The following is a 19,859-nucleotide window of genomic DNA, read 5'->3' as shown; positions in this document are numbered from 1 at the left end:
GTGGGTTGGTGTGGCCTGGAACAGGGAGGAGGCCCTGCAGGAGATGAGCTATCTGCCAGATGTTAGGTTTCAGCAGGCAGACACTACTGCACGCATAAAAGACAGCAAGTCGGCCGGGCGCGATGGCTCACGCCTGTAATCCCAGCACACTGGGAGGCCGAAGCGGGCGGATCACGAGGTCAAGAGATTGAGACCAGGCTGGCCAACATGGTGAAACCCCGTCTCTGCTAAAGATACAAAAATTAGCCAGGCGTGGTGGCGGGTGCCTGTAATCCCACCTACTCAGGAGGCTGAGGCAGGAGAATCACTTGAACCCGGGAGGTAAAGGTTGCAGTGAGCAGAGATCGTGCCATTGCACTCCAGCCTAGTGACAGAGCAAGACTCTGTCTCAAAAAAAAAAAAAAAAAAGACAGCAAGTAAGCCAGGACCTGGGGTCCACACTGGCATGGGTGGCACACTGCTGGGGCGTGGGCGGGATAGGGTCAGATCACTGTGCACTTGAATAGCAACAGTTTCTTATTTCTCCTATAAGGCAGGGCAGTTCTCCAGACCCTCCGGGCTCACTCCTGCACCTGCAGTCTTCTGCGGCCCGTGTGGGGCTGTGGGCTGGATGCAGCCCTGCAATGGGGTCTTTCCCCTTCAAGGAGGCCAGACTCTGTCCTCACTCAGTAGCAGTGGTGTCCTAAGAGTATAAGCCCCAGTGCCCAGCACCTCTCAAGTCCCTGCAGGAGTCATGCTTGCTGATAACCCGTGGGTCAAAGCAGGTCCCATGGCCACACCACCTGGTAGGGGACCACATACGCTGGGAATTCCGGGAGGTGTGATTCCTGGAAGGCCATTACTGTAAAAATCTACTACGGGCTCTGGGGTGTGTGACCTTACCTCATGGGCAGTGGGAGGACACCAAAGGCTTTGAGCAGAATGTTCACCCAATGAAACCATATTTTAAGGAAAAATTATCAAGTAGAAGTACATAGATTGGTCTAGACTGATGAAGTAGTTGGCCAACCACTAAAATAGAACTATGCTAGGTATGGTGGCTTATGCCTGTAATGCCAGCACTTTGGGAGGCTGAGGTGGGAGGATCGCTTGAGCCCAGGAGTTCAAGACCAGCCTGGGCAACATAGTGAGACCCTATTTCTAGAAAAAATAAAAAATTAGCTAGGTGTGGTGGCGTGCACCTGTAGTCCCAGTTACTCAGGAGGCTGAGGTGGGAGGATGGCTTGAGTCCAGGAGGTGGAGGCTGCAGTGAGCTATGATCACACCACTGCACTCCAGTGTGGGCAACAGAGTGAGACGCTGACTCTTAAAAAAAAAAAAACAAAAAACTAATATGCTTCTTTCCTTAAAACAATAAGTAGTAGAAAATATCTTAATGTGCTCACAAAAGGGAGGCAAAATTATGAAAGTATTATTTATCTCTTCTGGCTAAATTTTATAATTTTCAAGTTAATTTAACTTTATCATCATAGCAAAGATATTTTACAAGACCGAGAAGGTTACATGGTTTTCAATGTAAGTCAACAATTAATGAAAAATTGTGATTTCATGTGTGGATGCAAACCAAACATTTTGCTTAAATATTGTGTAATCCTGCATTCCATTCCCGCACTAATTTGCTTTTCAGATGATCAGTACTTTACAACTTAACATCTTCATACTAAGATGTTCCATCTTACAACTTGACAGTTTCCTGGCTACACACCTTGTTTTTAGGTGGAGTCACTTCTTTCTTAGTTCTAGACGAGACCAAAGAATCAGAAAGCACCATAATTTAGAGCTGAGGAAGTGAAGTGCCCAGCCAGAGCTGTGTGCCTTCCCGCTGACTCAACATTGACCTTGGGTATGTCCCAGAATATCTCCACTCCGCTGCCCTTAGCGCAACGGGCTGATGACATTACGGACTGTGTCTCAACATAATTGGATAGATTAACTAAGTATGTATATAAATGCTAATTGCTATTGTTCTTTTTACATTTACACTTTAAGGTTGTTCTGAGTCTTATAATAGTGCAGTAGATAGAATATTGCATTTCCTAAAGTTGGATATGTATATGGTAAAAACCATAACTTTTATATATATATAAATATATATGTACTTTTTTTTTTTTTTTTTGAGACTGAGTCTCACTTTGTCGCCAGGCTGGAGTGCAGTGGCGCAATCTCAGCTCACTGTAACCTCTGCCTCCCGAGTTCAAGCGATTCTCCTGCCTCAGCCTCCCGAATAGCTGGGATTACAAGCATGTGCCACCATGCCCGGCTAATTTTTGTATTTTTAGTGGAGACGGGATTTCACCATGTTGGCCAGGACGGTCTTAATCTCTTGACCTCGTGATCCTCCTGCCTCAGCCTCCCAAAGTACTGGGATCACAGGTGTGAGCCACAGCACCTGGCTATAAATTTTTAACTCTACAATAAATCCTAAAGTAGATTAATGTGCCAGAAAAAATATACTACTGTTTTGGCTTTTCATACCTTCAGCTGGACCTGCACATGAATTAATTCTGTGGCTCACAACTATAATCCAAACACTTTGGGTGACTCAGGCAAGAGGATCCCTTGAACCCAGGAGTTCAAGACCAGCCTGGGCAACAGAGTGAGACCCCTACTCTTAAAAAAAAAAAAAAAAAAATATATATATATATATATATATATATATATTTTTTTTTTTTTTTTTTTTTTTTTTTGAGACAGGGGCCTCACTCTTGCCCACGCTGGAGTACAGTGGTACAGTTGTGGTTCACTGCAGTCTTGACCTTCTGGGCTCACGCAATTCTCCCACCTTAGCTTCCTGAGTAGCTGGGACTACTATAGGCGTGTGCCACCACCACCATGCCTGGCTAGTTTTTTTTGTTTGTTTTCAGTAGAGATATGGGGGGGTCTCCTTATGTTGCCCAGGCTGGTCTCAAACTCTTGGGCTCAAGTGATCCTCCTACCTCAGCCTCGCAAAATGCTAGGAGTACAGGTGTAAGCCACTGCACCCAGCCCCTTCAATTTTTTTTTTTTTTTTTTTTTTAATTAGCCAGGAATGGTGGCACGTGCCTGTAGTCCCAGCTACTTGGGAGGCTGAGGCAGAAGGATCCTTTGAGCCCAGGAGGTCAAGGCTGCAGTGAGCCATGATCTTGCCACTGCACTCCAGCCTGGGTGAAAGAACAAGACTCTGCCTCTAAAAAAATAAAATAAAATAAAATCCACCTTGTTAAAACAATTGCCCATTATACATTGCGGCATTGCAGCTGGTATAGCCTCTGGGATTCCCGAGGGCTCTTTTAGCTCCAAAACTGTGTGGTCTCCAAAGCTCCAGGAGAAACTGATTTCTATGTCTGAAACCAATCTTAGAGTAAAATTCCAAATAAATGCTTTTCTCCAAAATTACACTAACCAGGCTGGGTCTCTATCATACATCTTCAATACCCTCAAACCTAGATTGTAAAGTGAAAAAAGTGTATTAGCAGCTTCCATTTGTTCATCTGTCACTCACATTCTTAGGGCATTTTAAGGATGAGCAACCTTTGTTTCAGAAAGGGTAAGTAATTTGCCCCTGGAGGTTACATAGTTATAATTTAGTCTTCAGAATCAGTTCGAAGGGGGCAGTACTATTTTTAAGATAATTAGAACCCACCTTGTAGCAATAAAAGTTTTCTTGTCTTTGCCAAAAAAGAAAAAGTAGAGCATTCAGTTATTTTTTCAGACAATTGTGTTGCTTTTTGGAATGATAATATATTTCAAATTTCATATATTCTCTCCTGGCAACAAATAGGTTGGTTGGTTGTGGCTCAAAATGCCTTTTTCAATAGAAAAATTAAGCACTGCCATCAAAGGACCAGGCTCCTAGTCCACCTCACACAACTCCTAACTAAGAATGTTGCAGACCTGGAGTGCTGGAGAAGAACTAGCTCAGAAAAGATTTCTGGCTGGAGAGGATGTATCTTCTTTTTTTATATTTATTTTTGAGACAATATCTGGCTGTGTCACCCAGAGTAGAATGCAGTGTCATGATCTCGGCTCACTTGCAACCTCCGCCTCCTGGGCTCAAGCGATCCTCTCACCTCAGCCTCCCAAGTAGCTGGGACTGCAGGCACACTCCACCATGCCTGGCTAATTTATGTATTTTTTTTTTTTTTTGTAGAGGCGGGGTTTTACCATGTTGCCCAGGCTGGTCTCAAACTCCTCCCACCTCAGCCTCCCAAAGGGCTGGGATTACAGGTGTGAGCCACCGTGCCCAGGCAAAGCCCTAGTTCAACGTTAGGAACGCATCCACTCTGAAACTGGCATCAGGAGCAAGCTGAGCCTTCTCTGGACTTTCAGCACCTGCTGCTGAAGGTTCCCCGGGGCTGGTCAGAGACGAGGATCTCATGGGGCTGTCCCTTGGCTGGAGGGCCTCCACCCCGGCACCACTCTCAACACAGGTCTTACCTCCTGAGAGCCACACCTGCCACAGCCCAAACCTTCCTGCAGCCAGAAGGGACCAGGGGGTGTTTGGAAGAAAACTTGTGTTGCTTCCTCCTTTCCTTGTCTAAGTGACGATTTTGTGTGTCACCTTTTGTGTCTAGCTATGATCCTGGCAGGAAAAGCCTACTACGATGGAGTGGCCAAGATCGGTGAGATTGCCACTGGGTCCCCCGTGTCAACTGAACTGGGTGAGCGATCTGTCCCTTTATACATAAACCCCACTTGTCATCCTGTGAACCCCAAGAGAAACGCGTGGGATGGCCCAGTCCAGAACAGAGGAGAGATCTGGGCCAGCATGCTGTGGTTCTACTTCACCGCGGTCTGTGGAAATTGATGCTTAGTCGTAGGGTGGGCTGGGACTGGTGCCGGAGGGCGAGTGGAGGCCTTGTTTTCTGGCCAGCCTCCCTGTTCTCCTAGGAACTTGAGCTTTTGCCCTGGGTGCCTGGGCTCTCACCCTTCCCGCTGGGAGTTTGACCTACATTCCTGATGGGCGAGCCGGGCCTCCTGGGGCCTCGGGCTGTGGCCAGAGTGTTTCCTGTGACTCACCTAGTAGAAAATCCGACTCCTTTACATTGCTCTCTTGGCCCTTGCCTCTTCCCTGGTTGCTTTCAGCTGTGATTTTTCCGGTTCTGCTGGTATGAATCGCTCTCCTGTGCAGGCAGAGAGGGCGGTTACACCCTGGGCAGTGCCCGCTGCCGAGGGGATCTGGGCTTCTGTTTATAGAACACTTCACTGTCGGGGGTTAGGGAAAGGTGGGCTTTTAAAACGGCCCCACACAGCACTCTCATTTAAAAAACTTGTTGAATATGTTTTATTGTACAAAGGGTAAAATTTCTGGCTTAACCGGAGGAAAATCATGGTAAAGTGTGTGCGTATTTAAAGAAAAGTGCATCCATGTCCAGTTAAGAAGTAGGAAGGGGAAGCAGAGGAGTGGGGGCATCACCAAGGGAAGGTGCGGGCAAGTCACATGGTTTCTCGATGGGGTTGGCCTGAGGGTTTTTAGGATTGTTTGGGAAGCTCTTAACTGACCCATAAAAGACAGGGACAAATGAGAGGCCTGACAGTGGAGTTGAGGAGCTGGGCTGTTGGGTGCAGAGGCGATCTGGGTCCTCACAGTCTCCGTATAAAGCCATAGGCACACGGTAGACCATATGCTGGAAGTGATGCCTTGTTAGTGAATAAGTCAGTACTGCGAGAAAGCGATCTATGTATTTTTTAATTTTTTATTTTATTTTATTTTATTTTATTTTATTTTATTTTATTTTATTGAGACAGAGTCTTGCTCTGTCACCCAGGCTGGAGTGCAGTGGCACGATCTCGGCTCACTGCAACCTCTGCTGCCCAGGTTCAAGCAATTCTCCTGCCTCAGCCTCCTAAGTAGCTGAGACTACAGATGCCCGCCACCACGCCTGGCTAATTTTTTTGTATTTTTAGTAGAGACGGGGTTTCGCCATGTTGGCCAGGCTGATCTCGAACTCCTGACCTCAGGTGATCCTCCTGCCTCAGCCTACCAAAGTACTGAGATTACAGGTGTGAGCCACCGCGCCCAGCCATAATATTATTTATATATATAAAAATATATATAATATACATATATAAATATATGTATATTATAAATATACATATAATATACATATATAAATATATATGTATTTATAATATTAATATACATATATTTATAATATAAATATATGTATATTTATAAATATATGTGTATTTATAATATAAATATATGTGTATTTATAATGTAAATATGTATATTTATAATATAAATATGTATGTATATATATTTATATATAATATAAATATATTTATAATATATATATTATGTATATTTATAATATACATAATATAAATATATGTGTATATATATAAATATATAAATATATTTATATATTTATATATATTTTAGGGGGTCTCTCTGTGTTGGCCAGGTTGGTCTTGAACTCTTGGCCTCTAGGATTCCCCCTGCCTTGGCCTCTCAAAGTGCTAGGATGACTGGCCTCACCCAGCCCAGTACTGCTATATTTAATAGACTCAGTTACATGCAGAAGTTTTCCAAAATCCTGCTTGTGCCCTGGTTGGTGCCATAATCCTGCATGTGCCAGCGAGGACTGAACTGTAGTAACTCTGTTCTAAGCACAATGAATTTAATAAAATACGGAGGCTGCCGGATGTAGACAGAAGCAGACAGCAAAACCTAGGATATTTGGGGGAGTCGTTGAGATGATTATAGGGTTCCAAAAATAGCATGAATAAAAAGAAACATCCTATTGGTGTCATGCATCAGAAAGAAAACATGTGTGACCCTTACATTAAAACATATGGTGCTCTGACTCACCACACCCAGTTTGCCTTTTTAATGTTTTATGGGTCCTGCCACTGTTTAAATAAGACTTCTGCTCCACACCTTACTTGAGTCAGTCGTGAGTTCCTAATGTTGAAACAGCTATTTCCACAGCAACGATGTTGGTATAAACAACACAGGCTTAGAACTTTCATTTCAGTGAGGAAAGTATTTTGTGATGGTGAAATTTCTTTCATGTGCATGTATATATCTATGGGGTATTTTTTGTTTTTGTTTTTTTGAGACGGAACCTCACTCCATCACCTAGGCTGGAGTGCAGTGGCGTGATCTTGGCTCCCTGCAGCCTCTGCCTCCAGGGTTCAAGCAATTCTCATGCCTCAGCCTTCTGAGCAACTGGGATTACAGGTGCCCACCACCATACCCGGCTAATTTTCATATTTTTAGTAGACACATGGTTTCACCATCTTGGCCAGGCTGGTCTCAAACTCCTGACCTCGGGTGACCCACCCGCCTACGCCTCTCAAAATGCTAGGATTACAGGTGTGTGCCACCGTGCCCAGCCACTTGTGCGTATGTATTTTATTCAGAGGGAACAGAAATAACTTTCTGTTTTATTTAGTTTCAAGCTGTCCTTTTGCTTAATACTTGCTATCTCATGTAGTTACTGGTTTTTCTTCTCGTTTCGAACAATTCCATGGTACAATGCTATCTCAGGAGGAGTTACTTCCTTGACTGGCTCCATTTTTCTTTTATTGATACAGTTCAGACTAAAAAGGCACCCCGTATCTGTTTAAATTCCCTGTATGGAAGAGTCATGGACAATTCATAGAAAAAAAAAAAGACCAAAGATAGATTGTATTTTTCTCATCTTCCAAGAAGATTTTATTGTCTAGTTACTCCGTTTTGGTATTTGGTATTCACAACTTCATCATGAAACTTTATAACTCTCATATGAGAAAACTCGAAGGGGTGTTATCACATACATGAAAATCATGAATCATTTCAAAACGTTCATTCTGTGCGCCTCGAGGGTCGGCCTCTGTGACAGCGGTGCCATTTCTGATGTCTAGCAGTGGATACTTACACTTAGCTCTCTCCTGGCATCGGCTCACTCACTGCTGTGTGAATAATGTAGGATGCTTTTGCCTAAAAGTAAAAAATAAAATACCCAATGAACAGTGAGTTAAGCAATCAGCATCTTTATTATTCCACATGAGGAGCAGCAGGTTGTCAGTTTATCATCACTAGGGACCCAGGTTCCTTCTCTCTGTCTTCTCATCCTCATACTCATTTCCTCATGGTGCCAGGATGGCTGCCACTGCCTCTCCAACCATCACATCCTCTCTCTCCCCATTGTCTCCAAAGGCAGGAAGGGGAATTTCTTCTCAGGTGTGCTGACAACCTTTGCCCCAAAGCTCCAGCACACAGCCCCTTATACCCCACGGCCCAATTTAGATCACACTCCCAGGACCCAGCTGCTAGCAAAGCTCCCCAGGCATGAGCCAAGGAACACCAGGTCAGAGAGGATGTGGCTGTTAGGAGATGGCCTGGTGACAGCCCCCACGTCGGCATCTCTGGTATTAAAGGTCTGTTTTCAACAACTTTCAGTGAAAGGGCAGGACTGATAGAAATGTTAGCGGTGCTCTGGGTGTACATGGTGCTTCCGCGTTTTTTGTGTGTCTGAGTGGAGTGATGTTTTTCTCCCTCGTGGGCTGGTGTGTGGTTTTACCAGCATGCATATACTTCAGACTTCATAATTGTGGCCGGGTACAGTGGCTCAGGCCTGTAATCCCAGCACTTTGGAAGGCCAAGGCGGGCGGATCACCCGAGGTCAGGAGTTCGAGCCTAGCCTGGCCAACATGGTGAAACCTGTCTGTACTAAAAAAAATACCAAAAAATTAGCCAGGCATGGTGGCGCATGCCTGTAATTCCAGCTACTTGAGAGGCTGATACAGGAGAATCACTTGAACCCGGGAGGCAGAGTTTGCAGTGAGCCAAGATCGCTCCACTACAGTCCAGCCTGGGCAACAGAGTGAGACTCCATCTCAAAAAAAAACAAACAAAAACTTCATAATTGCTGTTTTTCCAGGGCCCTCCCACTTTTTTCCCCCAGAAGACCACAGCCATCCTTTCCAGTCTGTTTCTATTTGGGAAGGGGAGATCTAAGCACAGAGGAAGAAATAGGGGCTGTGGGGTAGGGGGCCTTAGGGTAGCTGTAGGTTTTTTCTGCTGGTTTTGTTTTTTTATTTTTGTTTTTGTTCTTGAGACGAAGTCTCGCTCTGTCGCCCAGGCTGGAGTGCAGTGGCGCGATCTTGACTCACTGCAACCTCTGTGTCCCGGCTTCAAGCAATTCTCCTGCCTCAGCCTCCTGAGTAGCTGCGACTACAGGTGCACACCACCACGCCCAGCTAATTTTTGTATTTTTAGTAGGAGCGGTATTGTTTCACCATGTTTGCCAGGCTGGTCTCAATCTCTTGACCTCGTGATCTGCCCGCCTCAGCCTCCCAAAGTGCTGGGATTACAGGCATGAGCCACTGTGCCCAGCCTTCTGCTGTTTTGTTTTTTTTTTTAAGCCTTTGGATATCTTGTAACCATGGACTCTGGTGCATTTCCCCTGCTCATCTTTCTCGCTGCCAAGGTACCTGAATGGTCTGGTCAGCAGCCACTGACTCGTGGTTGAAAACAGGGGGAATAGAGAAAATTAAAAACCATCACCCGAGATGTGAGCACTCTAAGGCAGACGCTTTATCATCCTTGTCTTTCTTTCTAGCCTTGTTTTCCAGTCAGTATGTTCTTTTTTTTTTTCCCCCCTTTTTGAGGCAGGGTCTTACCTTGAAACCCGGGCTGTGCCATCATGGCTCATTGCAGCCTCGATCTTCTGGGCTCAAGCCATCCTCCTACCTCAGCCTCCCTTGTAGATGGGACATATGCATACACCACCATGCCTGGCGATTCTCCTGCCTTAGTCTCCCGAGTAGCTGGGATTACAGGCATGCGCCACCATGCCTGGCTAATTTTTGTACTTTCAGTAGAGATGGGGTTTCTCCATGTTGGTCAGGCTGGTCTCGAACTCCCAACCTCAGGTGATCCGCCCTGAGGTGAGACTCCATGTCAGAAAACAAACAAACAAACAAAAACTTCCCATCGGCCTCCCAAAGTGCTGGGATTACAGGCGTGAGCCACCATCCCCGGCCGTATTTTTTTTTTTTGTAGTAGAGATGGGGTTTCACCATGCTGGCCAGGCTAGTCTTGAACTCCTGACTTAAGGTAATCCACCTGCCTCGGCCTCCCAAAGTGCTGGGATTACAGGTGTGAACCACTGCACCCAGGCTGACAGGGGACTTTTCAAGAAGGGGATGAGAGGTTATCGTTAGTGTCTGAATGGCTGGCAGGTGTCATGATTAGCGGTCACAGTCCCCTTGGAAATGGTGGTTTCACTGGGGTTCCAACCATAAACGCCAGGAGTTACGGGGTAAGGATAGTGGAAATCACAGAGGCGTAGCGTGGGCGTGGCTCTTCTTAGAAGTATTGCTCCGCTCTTGTGCCGTCTTAGAAGTATTTCCCTGCCCTTGCGCCACGTGCTTCCATACAGAAACACGGGTCTCCGGATGTGTCCACCGCGTGCCGGGCACTTCTGTTGTCTCATTTCATCCTCAGTAGCCTCCTGGGTGACTTCTTCCTCAGGGGTTGCAGAGTGCAGTGTTTTTCCTCAGGGTGGCTGATAGGCCCTAAGGGTAAACGTAGCTGTCACCTTTTTCTACATGGGCCTAAGAGATAACCTCCATGGGCAACCACATTGGGTCACATGTCCCCAGCAAGGGGTTTTGCAGCCAAGCTAGGCAGAGCATGGACTGTGGGGGTGGTTACCCCTCCAGGGATGGTAGGGACATGGGTGCTGCCTGGGTTGCAGAGCTCACCCCGCCCAGGCGAGTCCGGGAAAGATCCTTTGACCCAGGACAGTAAGGCCAGGCCACATCTCACTTTCCCCTGAGACTGCTGGATAGCATGCCACCTGGCACCTAAGAGATGCTCGGGAGTGGTGACGTTGCCACATTCCTGCTGTTAACTTGTGTGACCCCGGGCAACACTTCACCTTCGGCAGTGGGTTATTTACTCACCATGGAGGTGACAGCCACGCCTTCCAGGTCATTAGATGAAATGAGATGATGTGCCTTGTGGCTTCTGTATCAAAGACTAGAAGGATGCCTCTCTCTTTCTACTTCACACATTCGCAAATATTTCAGAATTTAAAAACAGTGACAATTTTCTTCATTGACATTCTTCTCATAAAGTAAGTAATAAAAGAATATATAACATTTTTCTTTTCTTTCTTTCTTTTTTTTTTTTTTTTTGTGGAGGCAGAGTCTCACTCTGTTGCCCAGGCTGAAGTGCAGTGGTGCAATCTCGGCTCACTGCAACCTCTGCTTCCCGGGTTCAAGCGATTCTCGTGATGCATCCTCCTGAGTAGCTGGGGTTATAGGTGCCCACCACCATGCCCGGCTAAGTTTTGTATTTTTAGTAGAGATGGGGTTTTGTCATGTTGCCCAGGCTGGTCTTGAACTCTTGACCTCAAGTGATCAGGCCACCTCAGCCTCCCAAAGTGCTGGGATTACAGATGTGAGCCACTGCGCCTGGCCAGAATATATATTTTTCTTGATTATTCATGAACCAGTTGTTCAAGTCTCTCCATTGTGTCTTTGTTTTCTATTTCATTGGTCTCTCCTTTACTCTCTTTCATGTATCTTTGAAATGACTCTTTTATTCTTTTTCTCATTTCTTTTTTTTATTATACTTTAAGTTCTGGGATACATGTGAAGAACGTGCAGGTTTGTTACATAGATATACACGTGCCTTGGTGGTTTGCTGTACCCATTAACCGGTCATCTACATTAGATATTTCTCCTAATGCTATCCCTTCCCTAGCCTCCCACCCCACAACAGGCCCCGGTGTGTGATGTTCCCCTCCCTATGTCCATGTTCTCATTGTTCAGCTCCTACTTAGGAGTGAGAACATGCGGTGTTTGGTTTTCTGTTCTGTGTTAGTTTCCTGAGAATGATGGTTTCCAGCTTCATCCATGTCCCTGCAAAGGACATGAACTCATCCTTTCTTATGGCTGCTCTTTTTCTAATTTCTTTTTTTTTTTGAGACATTGTTTCGCTCTGTCGCCCGGGCAGACAGAGTGCAGTGGCGCGATCTTGGCTCACTGCACGCTCCGCTTCCCGGGTTCACACCATTCTCCTGCCTCAGCCTCCCGAGTAGCTGGGACTACAGGCGCCTGCCACGGCGCCCGGCTAATTTTTTGTATTTTTAGTAGAGGCGGGTTTTCACCATGTTAGCCAGGATGGTCTCGATCTCCTGACCTCTTGATCCACCCACCTCGGCCTCCCAAAGTGCTGGGATTACAGGCGTGAGCCACTGCGCCTGGCCTTTCTAATTTCTTAAGTGGTACATTTAACTCACTAATTTTAAAAACAGGCAGCCCTGTTTTGCATGGTAATGGCATCATAAAAATGTGCAAGCTGAAACCACACAAAGTCATTTTGATACTGCAAAATTACGTTGTTCTATGACCTTTAAAAATGTTTGTTAAAAACGCACTCACTGTCAGTTATAAATGTATAGGGAAATTAAAAAATAGTAAAACTAATATTTGTACACTTTAAAGCATTAGAAACATTGGGAATTAGAGTTTTTATTTGTAAAAATCCTACCAGGAGTGGTGTAAATAGGGCTTACCACCTTCTCATGGCTTAGGATAGGGCGAGCATCTTTTCTATGCTTTAGCAAATTGCCATACTCCTTGCCAAATTTGGATCAGCTTCCAACATTTCATCCTTGCAATTACAATGTTGTGAAGTATCTTCAAGAGTTCCTTTAAGGTGAAGTTTTGTTTTGTTTTGTTGTTGTTGTTGTTGTTGTTGTTGTTTTGCTGGCATCGCTTTCCCTGAAACATCTTCATCCTTTTCATCACAGCCACTTGGCTCAATTATGTTGGTAAGTTTTGGCCTCACTCAGTTCCTGTGGCCGTTCATCCAGTGCCACAAAGGCCAACAGTGTCAGCATTTCCAGTCAGCTGTTTCTTCTCTAATTCCATCTACGTTTGACTCAGTGTTGCTACTTTTCCCATTTCATTTCTGTGTCTTCAGTTTTGTTAGCAGTTTCTCTTGTAGTTACTCATTTTTGTAACATCGCCTGGGTTATCACTGGGAGACAAGGAGGCAACGCAGCTACACACTCGGCTGTCTGTGGGGATGCTCTGCTGTCCTTGCACCAATAGCAGACTGTCTTAATTACTGCAACTGTCTAATCTTGGTATCTAGTCGCATAAGTCCTCTAGCTTTGTGTTTATTTGAGAGTACCTTGGATATTCTAGGACCTCTGCATTTGTTTATATCTTAGAATCAGCTTGTCAATTTCCACTTTAAAAAATTCACTTGGAATTTTGATTGGAATACATTGAATTTACGGGTGGATTTAGGTGGAGTTGACATCTTAGCAATATTGGATTTTCTAATCCATGAAAATGGTAGATGCTTTCATTTATTTGAGATTTCTTTCGTTTCTGTAGCACTACTTTGTATTTTTTATTGTGGAAGTCTCCTCCTTTTTTATAGACTCATTCTTTATGTGTTTTGTCCTATTGTAAATGGTATTTTTAAATTTTTATTTCCTAACTGCTGGTTCCATTGAATTGTTTAGTGCCTGTCTTTCGTTACTGGAAGTCCTATTTAGTTCTTTTCTGAAATCTGCAAATTAATTTTTTGTTGTATTTATTTTTATAGCAGCTTGAGATACAGTTTACCCATTTAAAGTATACAGTTCACTGGTTTTTAGTATATTCACAAAGTTGTGTGATTATCACCACAATTAACTTTAGGATATTTTCATCACCGCAAAAAGAAACCCTCACCCATTAGCAGTTGCTTCCCATTTAACTCCAACCGTATCCAACCATTCATTTGCTGTACATCTTTAACACTTGTTATTGTCTCTTTTTTTTTTTTAGTATAGCCATCCTATAAATGATTTTACACATCCTGTAGTGTGAAGTGGGCTCTCATTTTGGCTTTCGTTCACATCTCCCTAGTGACTAACGACATTGAGCATCTTTTCATGTTCTTACTAGCCATTTGCATATCTTCTTTGGAGAAATGTATATTCAGATCCTTTGACCATTTTAAATTAATTTTTTTTAATTATTGAGTTTGCAAATTGACTTTTAGGCTGGAGTGCAGTGGTGCGATCTCGGCTCACTGCAATCTCTGCCTCCCAGGTTGAAGCGATTCTCGTCCCTCAGCCTCCCGAGTAGCTGGGACTACAGTACCCCCCCACCACACCCAGCTAATTTTTGTATTTTTAGTAAAGATGGGGTTTCACGATACTGGTCAGGCTCGTCTCAAACTCCTTACCTCAGGTGATCCACCCGCCTCGGCCTCCCAGAGTGCTGGGATTACAGGCGTGAGCCACCGTGCCCAGCCATCTTTTCATGTTCTTACTGACCATTTGCATATCTTCTTTGGAGAAATGTCTGTTCAGATCCTTTGCCCATTTTAAATTATGTTTTTTTTTATTATTGAGTTTGCAAATTGACTTTTGTCATTTATAAAGCAGTTCCGTTGCTTGAAGTTCTTGAGAGTCAAATTCTGCTAGGTGTTTTTATTGTATCTCTTGATGGCCGTTCATGAAGGATTCTTTCTGTAAGGGTTTTGTCAAGTCCTCTTATTGTTCTCTTCCATGTTAGGCTGGTTGTCCTCTTTATTGCGGATGTAAATTTTTTTGTGTCTTTAAAGACAGGGTCTCGCTATGTTGCCTAGGCTGGTCTTGAACTCCTGGGCTCAAGCAGCCCTCCTGCCTCAGCCTCATGGAAGATGTAAAAGTTTTGCCATTGGAAATCACCAGGAAATGAAAAGTAGAAATGCCAAGCAATGGGAGAGCCTCTCTGAGTCTCTGAAAAATAATATAGTTCACTTGTTTTTCTTTTTTTGAGACAGAGTTTCGCTCTTGTTGCCTAGGCTGGAGTACAATGGCGCGATCTCAGCTCACTGCAACCTCCGCCTCCCGAGTTCAAGTGATTCTCCTGCCTCAGCCTCCCAAGTAGCTGGGATTACAGGCATGTGCCACCACGCCTGGCTAATTTTTTGCATTTTTAGTAGAGACGGGGTTTCACCATGTTGGTCAGGCTGGTCTCAAACTCCTGACCTCAGGTGATCCGCCCACCTCGGCCTCCCAAAGTGCTGGATTACAGGCGTGAGCCACAACGCCCAGCCTACTTCTTAGGAAGAAGATACACTTTAATATACATATGCAAAATTTGCAAGTTAGTATCTAAAATTTAGGAAATAATGATGGATTTAAATGATCGGCAAATCTGTCAGACCTACATTTTACCCCCACCAGAGAACTCATTTCTTGATTTTCCTCCTTAAAATAAAAGGTCCTTTATGAATAGAATCTATTCTATTAGATAGATGATTCAGAAAATGTGTCCTTGCTCTTTCTTCAAGTATATTTGAAAGTGATAGAAAAATATTGATGATTTAAAGAGAAATACCAAATTCTAGTTGTTTTCATGCTGAATGTTCTCAATGACTTGAAGATAAGAGTTAACATATAATTTGAAACCTTTCAATTTCATTTTGCTAAAATATCACCTTTACCAGATGTACCTTAACTGCAGGGGTGAGCAAACTACAGCCAGGGATGACCAGGGCCTGCTTGTAAAGAAAGTTGTTTGTTTGTTTTTTGGAACGGAGTCTTGCTCTGTCGTCAGGCTGGAGTGCCAGTGGCGCGATCTCAGCTCACTGCAACCTCCACCTACCGGGTTCAAGTGATTCTCTTGCCTCAGCCTCCCTATAGCTGGGACTACAGGTACCCACCACACCCAGCTGATTTTTTTGTATTTTTAGTAGAGATGGGGTTTCACCATATTGGCCAGGATGGTCTCGATCTCTTGACCTCATGATCCGTCCGCCTCGGCCTCCCAAAGTGCTGGGATTACAGGCGTGAGCCTTTGTGCCGGCCAGGAAAGTTTTATTGGAACACAGCTGTGCCCATTTGTTCCTGTCTGGGGTTACATTCAGGATACAGTAGCAGGGCTGAGTGGCTGCAGCAGAGACGTTTGGCCCACAAGGCCTAAAGTTTTTGCAATTTGGCCCTTACCCAGACAGTAGAAGATCTCTTGTGTCATACAGTTGCTTGCTTCAATTGGGATAATCTTGTGAGGGATTTGGTATCCTTTTCTCCAAAGAAAAAGCACTTCTTTACTACCAGCTAGCTAAGTGTCTGGATTTAAGGTGCATTAACGACATAATCCTAACAACCACAGTAGCATGGGATACTCAAGTCCTAACCTCTTCGTCTTGTTGGGCAGAGCAAACAAACCGTCAACCCAAATCCAGAGATCAGTAGTCAGGGTTTGGCCAGTAACATATTTTAATCCAACTGTTTATTTTTATTTATTTATTTATTTTGAGACAGAGTCTGGCTCTGTTGCCCAGGCTGGAGTGCAGTGGCGTGATCTTGGCTCACTGCAAGCTCCACCTCCTGGGCTCAAGCAATTCTCCCACGTCAGCCTCCCAAGTAGCTGGGACTACTGGCGCCTGCCACCACACCCAGCTAGTGTGTGTGTGTGTCTGTGTGTGTGTGTGTGTGTGTGTGTGTGTGTGTGTGTGTATTTTTTTTTTCCAGTAGAGACAGGGTTTCACCATGTTGGCCAGGCTGGTCTCGAACTCCTGACCTCAAGTGTTCCACCCACCTCAGCCTCCCAAAGTGCTAGGATTACAGGCGTGAGCTACTGCGCCTGGCCGCTCCCACTGTTTAATTGTTAAATAATAGGTCATGGGGTCAAATTCATGCCACTCAACAGATTGTCAGTGGGTGTACCTAAAGTCACTCATGTGACTTTATCACGTGTGATAAAGTTAAATCCTTTATCACACGTGATAAAGGTTAATCCTTCATTACCTGTACACAGTTCAGTTCAAGGCAGCACAGCTACCCAGCAGTGCCCATTTAAAAAAGGAATCTGACATTTTCATAAACTTCCAGTTTTGTTCCTAAATCAAGCAAGGTTTATTTTTATAACTCAGAAAATATTGAAAAGGTGAAAGGGAAAACAGAAATGGTAAGGGGAAAATGTTTTGCCAAAATCTTTAGAAGAACCTTTGAGTCAGTTTTTTCATCCTTAAAGCAGAGAAAAATAAAGGATGTTCTCATTGACTTCTCAGGAAATAAGACTTTCTTTGGGGAGTTTATAAATTTGCTTTGAGCTTTTTAGAGCTCACCATTATGTAAATTTAGGCTATGTTATTTTGTTGTAGTTTAGTCAGCCATTGCATTTTGAATCATTTATTGTTTGGGCCAGTTTCTGAAATTGGGCACAAAACAGAATATTTTATCTCCTCACTATCAGGGAACCTAGAAAATCATAGATTTCCTTTAATCATTGATAGAATGCTTATGGATCATGCAATTTTTAAAAACTACATTATAGATTTGTCTTGCTGATACTCAGAATCCAATCTGACAGTCTTTGGTCTAAAAATTAGAGCAGAAGCCAGGAACGGTGGCTCAGCCTGGGTGCAGTGGCTCACACCTGTAATCCTAGCACTTTGGGAGGCCGAGGTGGGTGGACCTGAGGCCAGGAGTTTGAGACCAGCTAGGCCAACATGGCAAAACCCCATCTCTACTAAAAATACAAAAGTTAGCTGGGCATGGTGGCGTACACCTGTAATCCCAGCTACTTGGGAGGCTGAGGCATGAGAATCATTTGAACCTGGGAGGCGGAGGTTGCAGTGAGCCATGATTACACCACTGCACTCCAGCCTGGATGACAGAGCAAGACTCTGTCTTTATAAAAAAAAAAAAAAAAAAAAAAAAATCAGAAAAAAATTTCTGAAACATTTTTGAAATGTTACTAATTCACAACAATATTACAAATATATTCCTAAGATCTGGATAAAAGAATTCATACCACAGTAGGGAAAGAGCTGAGCTGAGCCACAGCAGTTATAATTGACCAAAATCACTTATCTTTTAGTTACAGGTTAGACTCACTTTAAAGAGATTAAAATTCTTCCACAAAAATAGCAAAGAAACAAGAGGAGATTTTATTTACTGAACACTGTACCTGCTATATGCCAGGCACAGTTCTAAGCACATTATAAATGTAATATTAACTCCTATAATCATCATGACAGCACTGTGAGGCCCATGCTTGTTATTTCCGTTTTATAGATGAGGAGACTGAGGTACAAAGGCAGTAACTTGCTGAGGTCGCGTATCTGGTCAGTGGCTGGTTCATTGGACCCCAGGCTACCTACCAGGTATATGACCTAGTCTGCCAACTTAATTTTCTATATGTCCAAAAGATGTGCTTTTTTAAAAAATAAAAAATTTTTTTTAGAGATGGGGGTCTTTCTGTGTTGCCCAGGCTGGTCTCGAACTCCTGGGCTGAAGCAGTCCTCCCACCTCAGCCTCCCAGAGTGCTAAGATTACAGACATGAGCCACTGCACCTGGACTGTGCTTTTCTAACGGCTTTACTTTATGGCTGTCAGATTTTCCTGCCAATTAGAGTTCAGCAAAATAAAGGATTGTGTTAAATTGCAAACCATCATATGGTCCATGCTGACTAACCATGTGAGTATGAGTCTGTATTTTGTTGGATTTTTCTCAGCTGTAATCACAATTTTGCTGGTTTTACTTAGAAGCATTTATAATGCGATCATTATTCCAGCTTTTTTTCTTGAGTATTTTCAGTTTGGGGTTTGGAAAATAATTTTTTTCCTGGAAGCAAGCACATGATAAATGCCTTTAGACCTTGAAGGTGGCTTTTCTCATCTCAATTTTTGGGTGGATGTTCTTTCTTCTCCCTTTTGGAACAGGAAAGGTCTCAGCTAGAATAATTAGAAAGGTAGGGTTATAATTTATAAAACCTGTAAGAGACAAAAAAAAAAAAAAAACCAATTAGCTGGGCCTGGTGGCAGGCACCTGTAATCCCAGCTACTCGGGAGGCTGAGGCAGGAGAATCGCTTGAACCCAGGAGGCGGAGGTGAGCTGAGGTCACACCATTGCTCTCCAGCCTGAGTGACAGAGTGAAACTCTGTCCCCTGCAAAAAAAAAAAAAAACCTGTAAGAGCATGTACTGTGGAAGTCCATGTGTCGTGTAGGCGCATTGGTGTAAGTATGTGTACATTCCTAAAGTTTAGGAAGATGTTCTGTGTTATAAATTGTACTTGTTTACAAAAGTTGTTACAAGAAGAACATTCCTTCTCTCAGCTTTGAAGTGAGTATATATATACTCAATGTACTATAATTAGTAAATATTACTTACATAGCCGGGCGTGGTGGCTCATGCCTGTAATCACAGCACTTTGGGAGGCCGAGGCGGGTGGATCACGAGGCCAGGAGATCGAGACCATCCTGGCTAACACAGTGAAACCCCGTCTCTACTAAATATACAAAAAATTAGCCGGGAGTGGTGGCGGGCGCCTGTAGTCCCAGCTACTCAGGAGGCTGAGGCAAGAGAATGGCGTGAACCCGGGAGGCAGAGCTTGCAGTGAGCCGAGATTGGGCCACTGCATTCCAGCCTGGGCGACAAGGCAAGACTCTGTCTCAAAAAAATAAAGAAATAAATATTACTTATGTAGAAGCTGAATCATTGAATCAGATTAGCCATTTCACACTTCATGCTTCCAGATTGCTCACTGGGCACATCCTAAGTGTCAACCTGAAACGTCATTTCCTGTTTTTCATTGTAACTTTATTATGTTTGCCCGTTCTCTTAAATCTTTGGATTTTTAAGTGTTTGAACAGAAAATTGTTTAAACCCAGTTTTCACAGTTACTCAAATTGGTCTTTTTCTCCTTGAAGTATATTGTGTGTCCTAGTAACTCAAGATGGAGACAGCGTAAGTGTCCCTGTCCTCACGCTGTCAGCCACAGCCAAAGGACCGCTGGCCAAGGAGCTGCAACAACTGGGCCGGATAATTGGCCTGTCATGGCGAGGGGGGGTGGCGCAAAGGACCTGGGGCTGTGCCTCTGCCATCATCACCATCCTTGTTCACAAGCGCTACTTACATCCTCTTACAAATAGGTGTG

At 44.1% G+C, this 19,859-nt stretch overlaps 1 protein-coding gene across 1 annotated transcript in view; it reads left to right on the top strand.

Annotated features, from left to right (window-relative positions):
- Nucleotides 1-19,859, top strand: part of BAIAP2L1 (BAR/IMD domain containing adaptor protein 2 like 1) — a 109,441-nt gene that overhangs the window by 41,409 nt on the left and 48,173 nt on the right. The window contains exon 3 of the mRNA NM_018842.5: nt 4,554-4,640. Coding sequence (NP_061330.2) covers nt 4,554-4,640 — 87 coding nt within the window. The remainder of the gene's footprint in view (nt 1-4,553; nt 4,641-19,859) is intronic.

This window comes from Homo sapiens, chromosome 7, assembly GCF_000001405.40.
Source record: "Homo sapiens chromosome 7, GRCh38.p14 Primary Assembly".
NCBI lineage: Eukaryota > Metazoa > Chordata > Mammalia > Primates > Hominidae > Homo > Homo sapiens.
The sequence above is the reverse complement of the archived record's forward strand: the minus strand, read 5'-3'. Positions and strand labels throughout refer to the sequence as shown.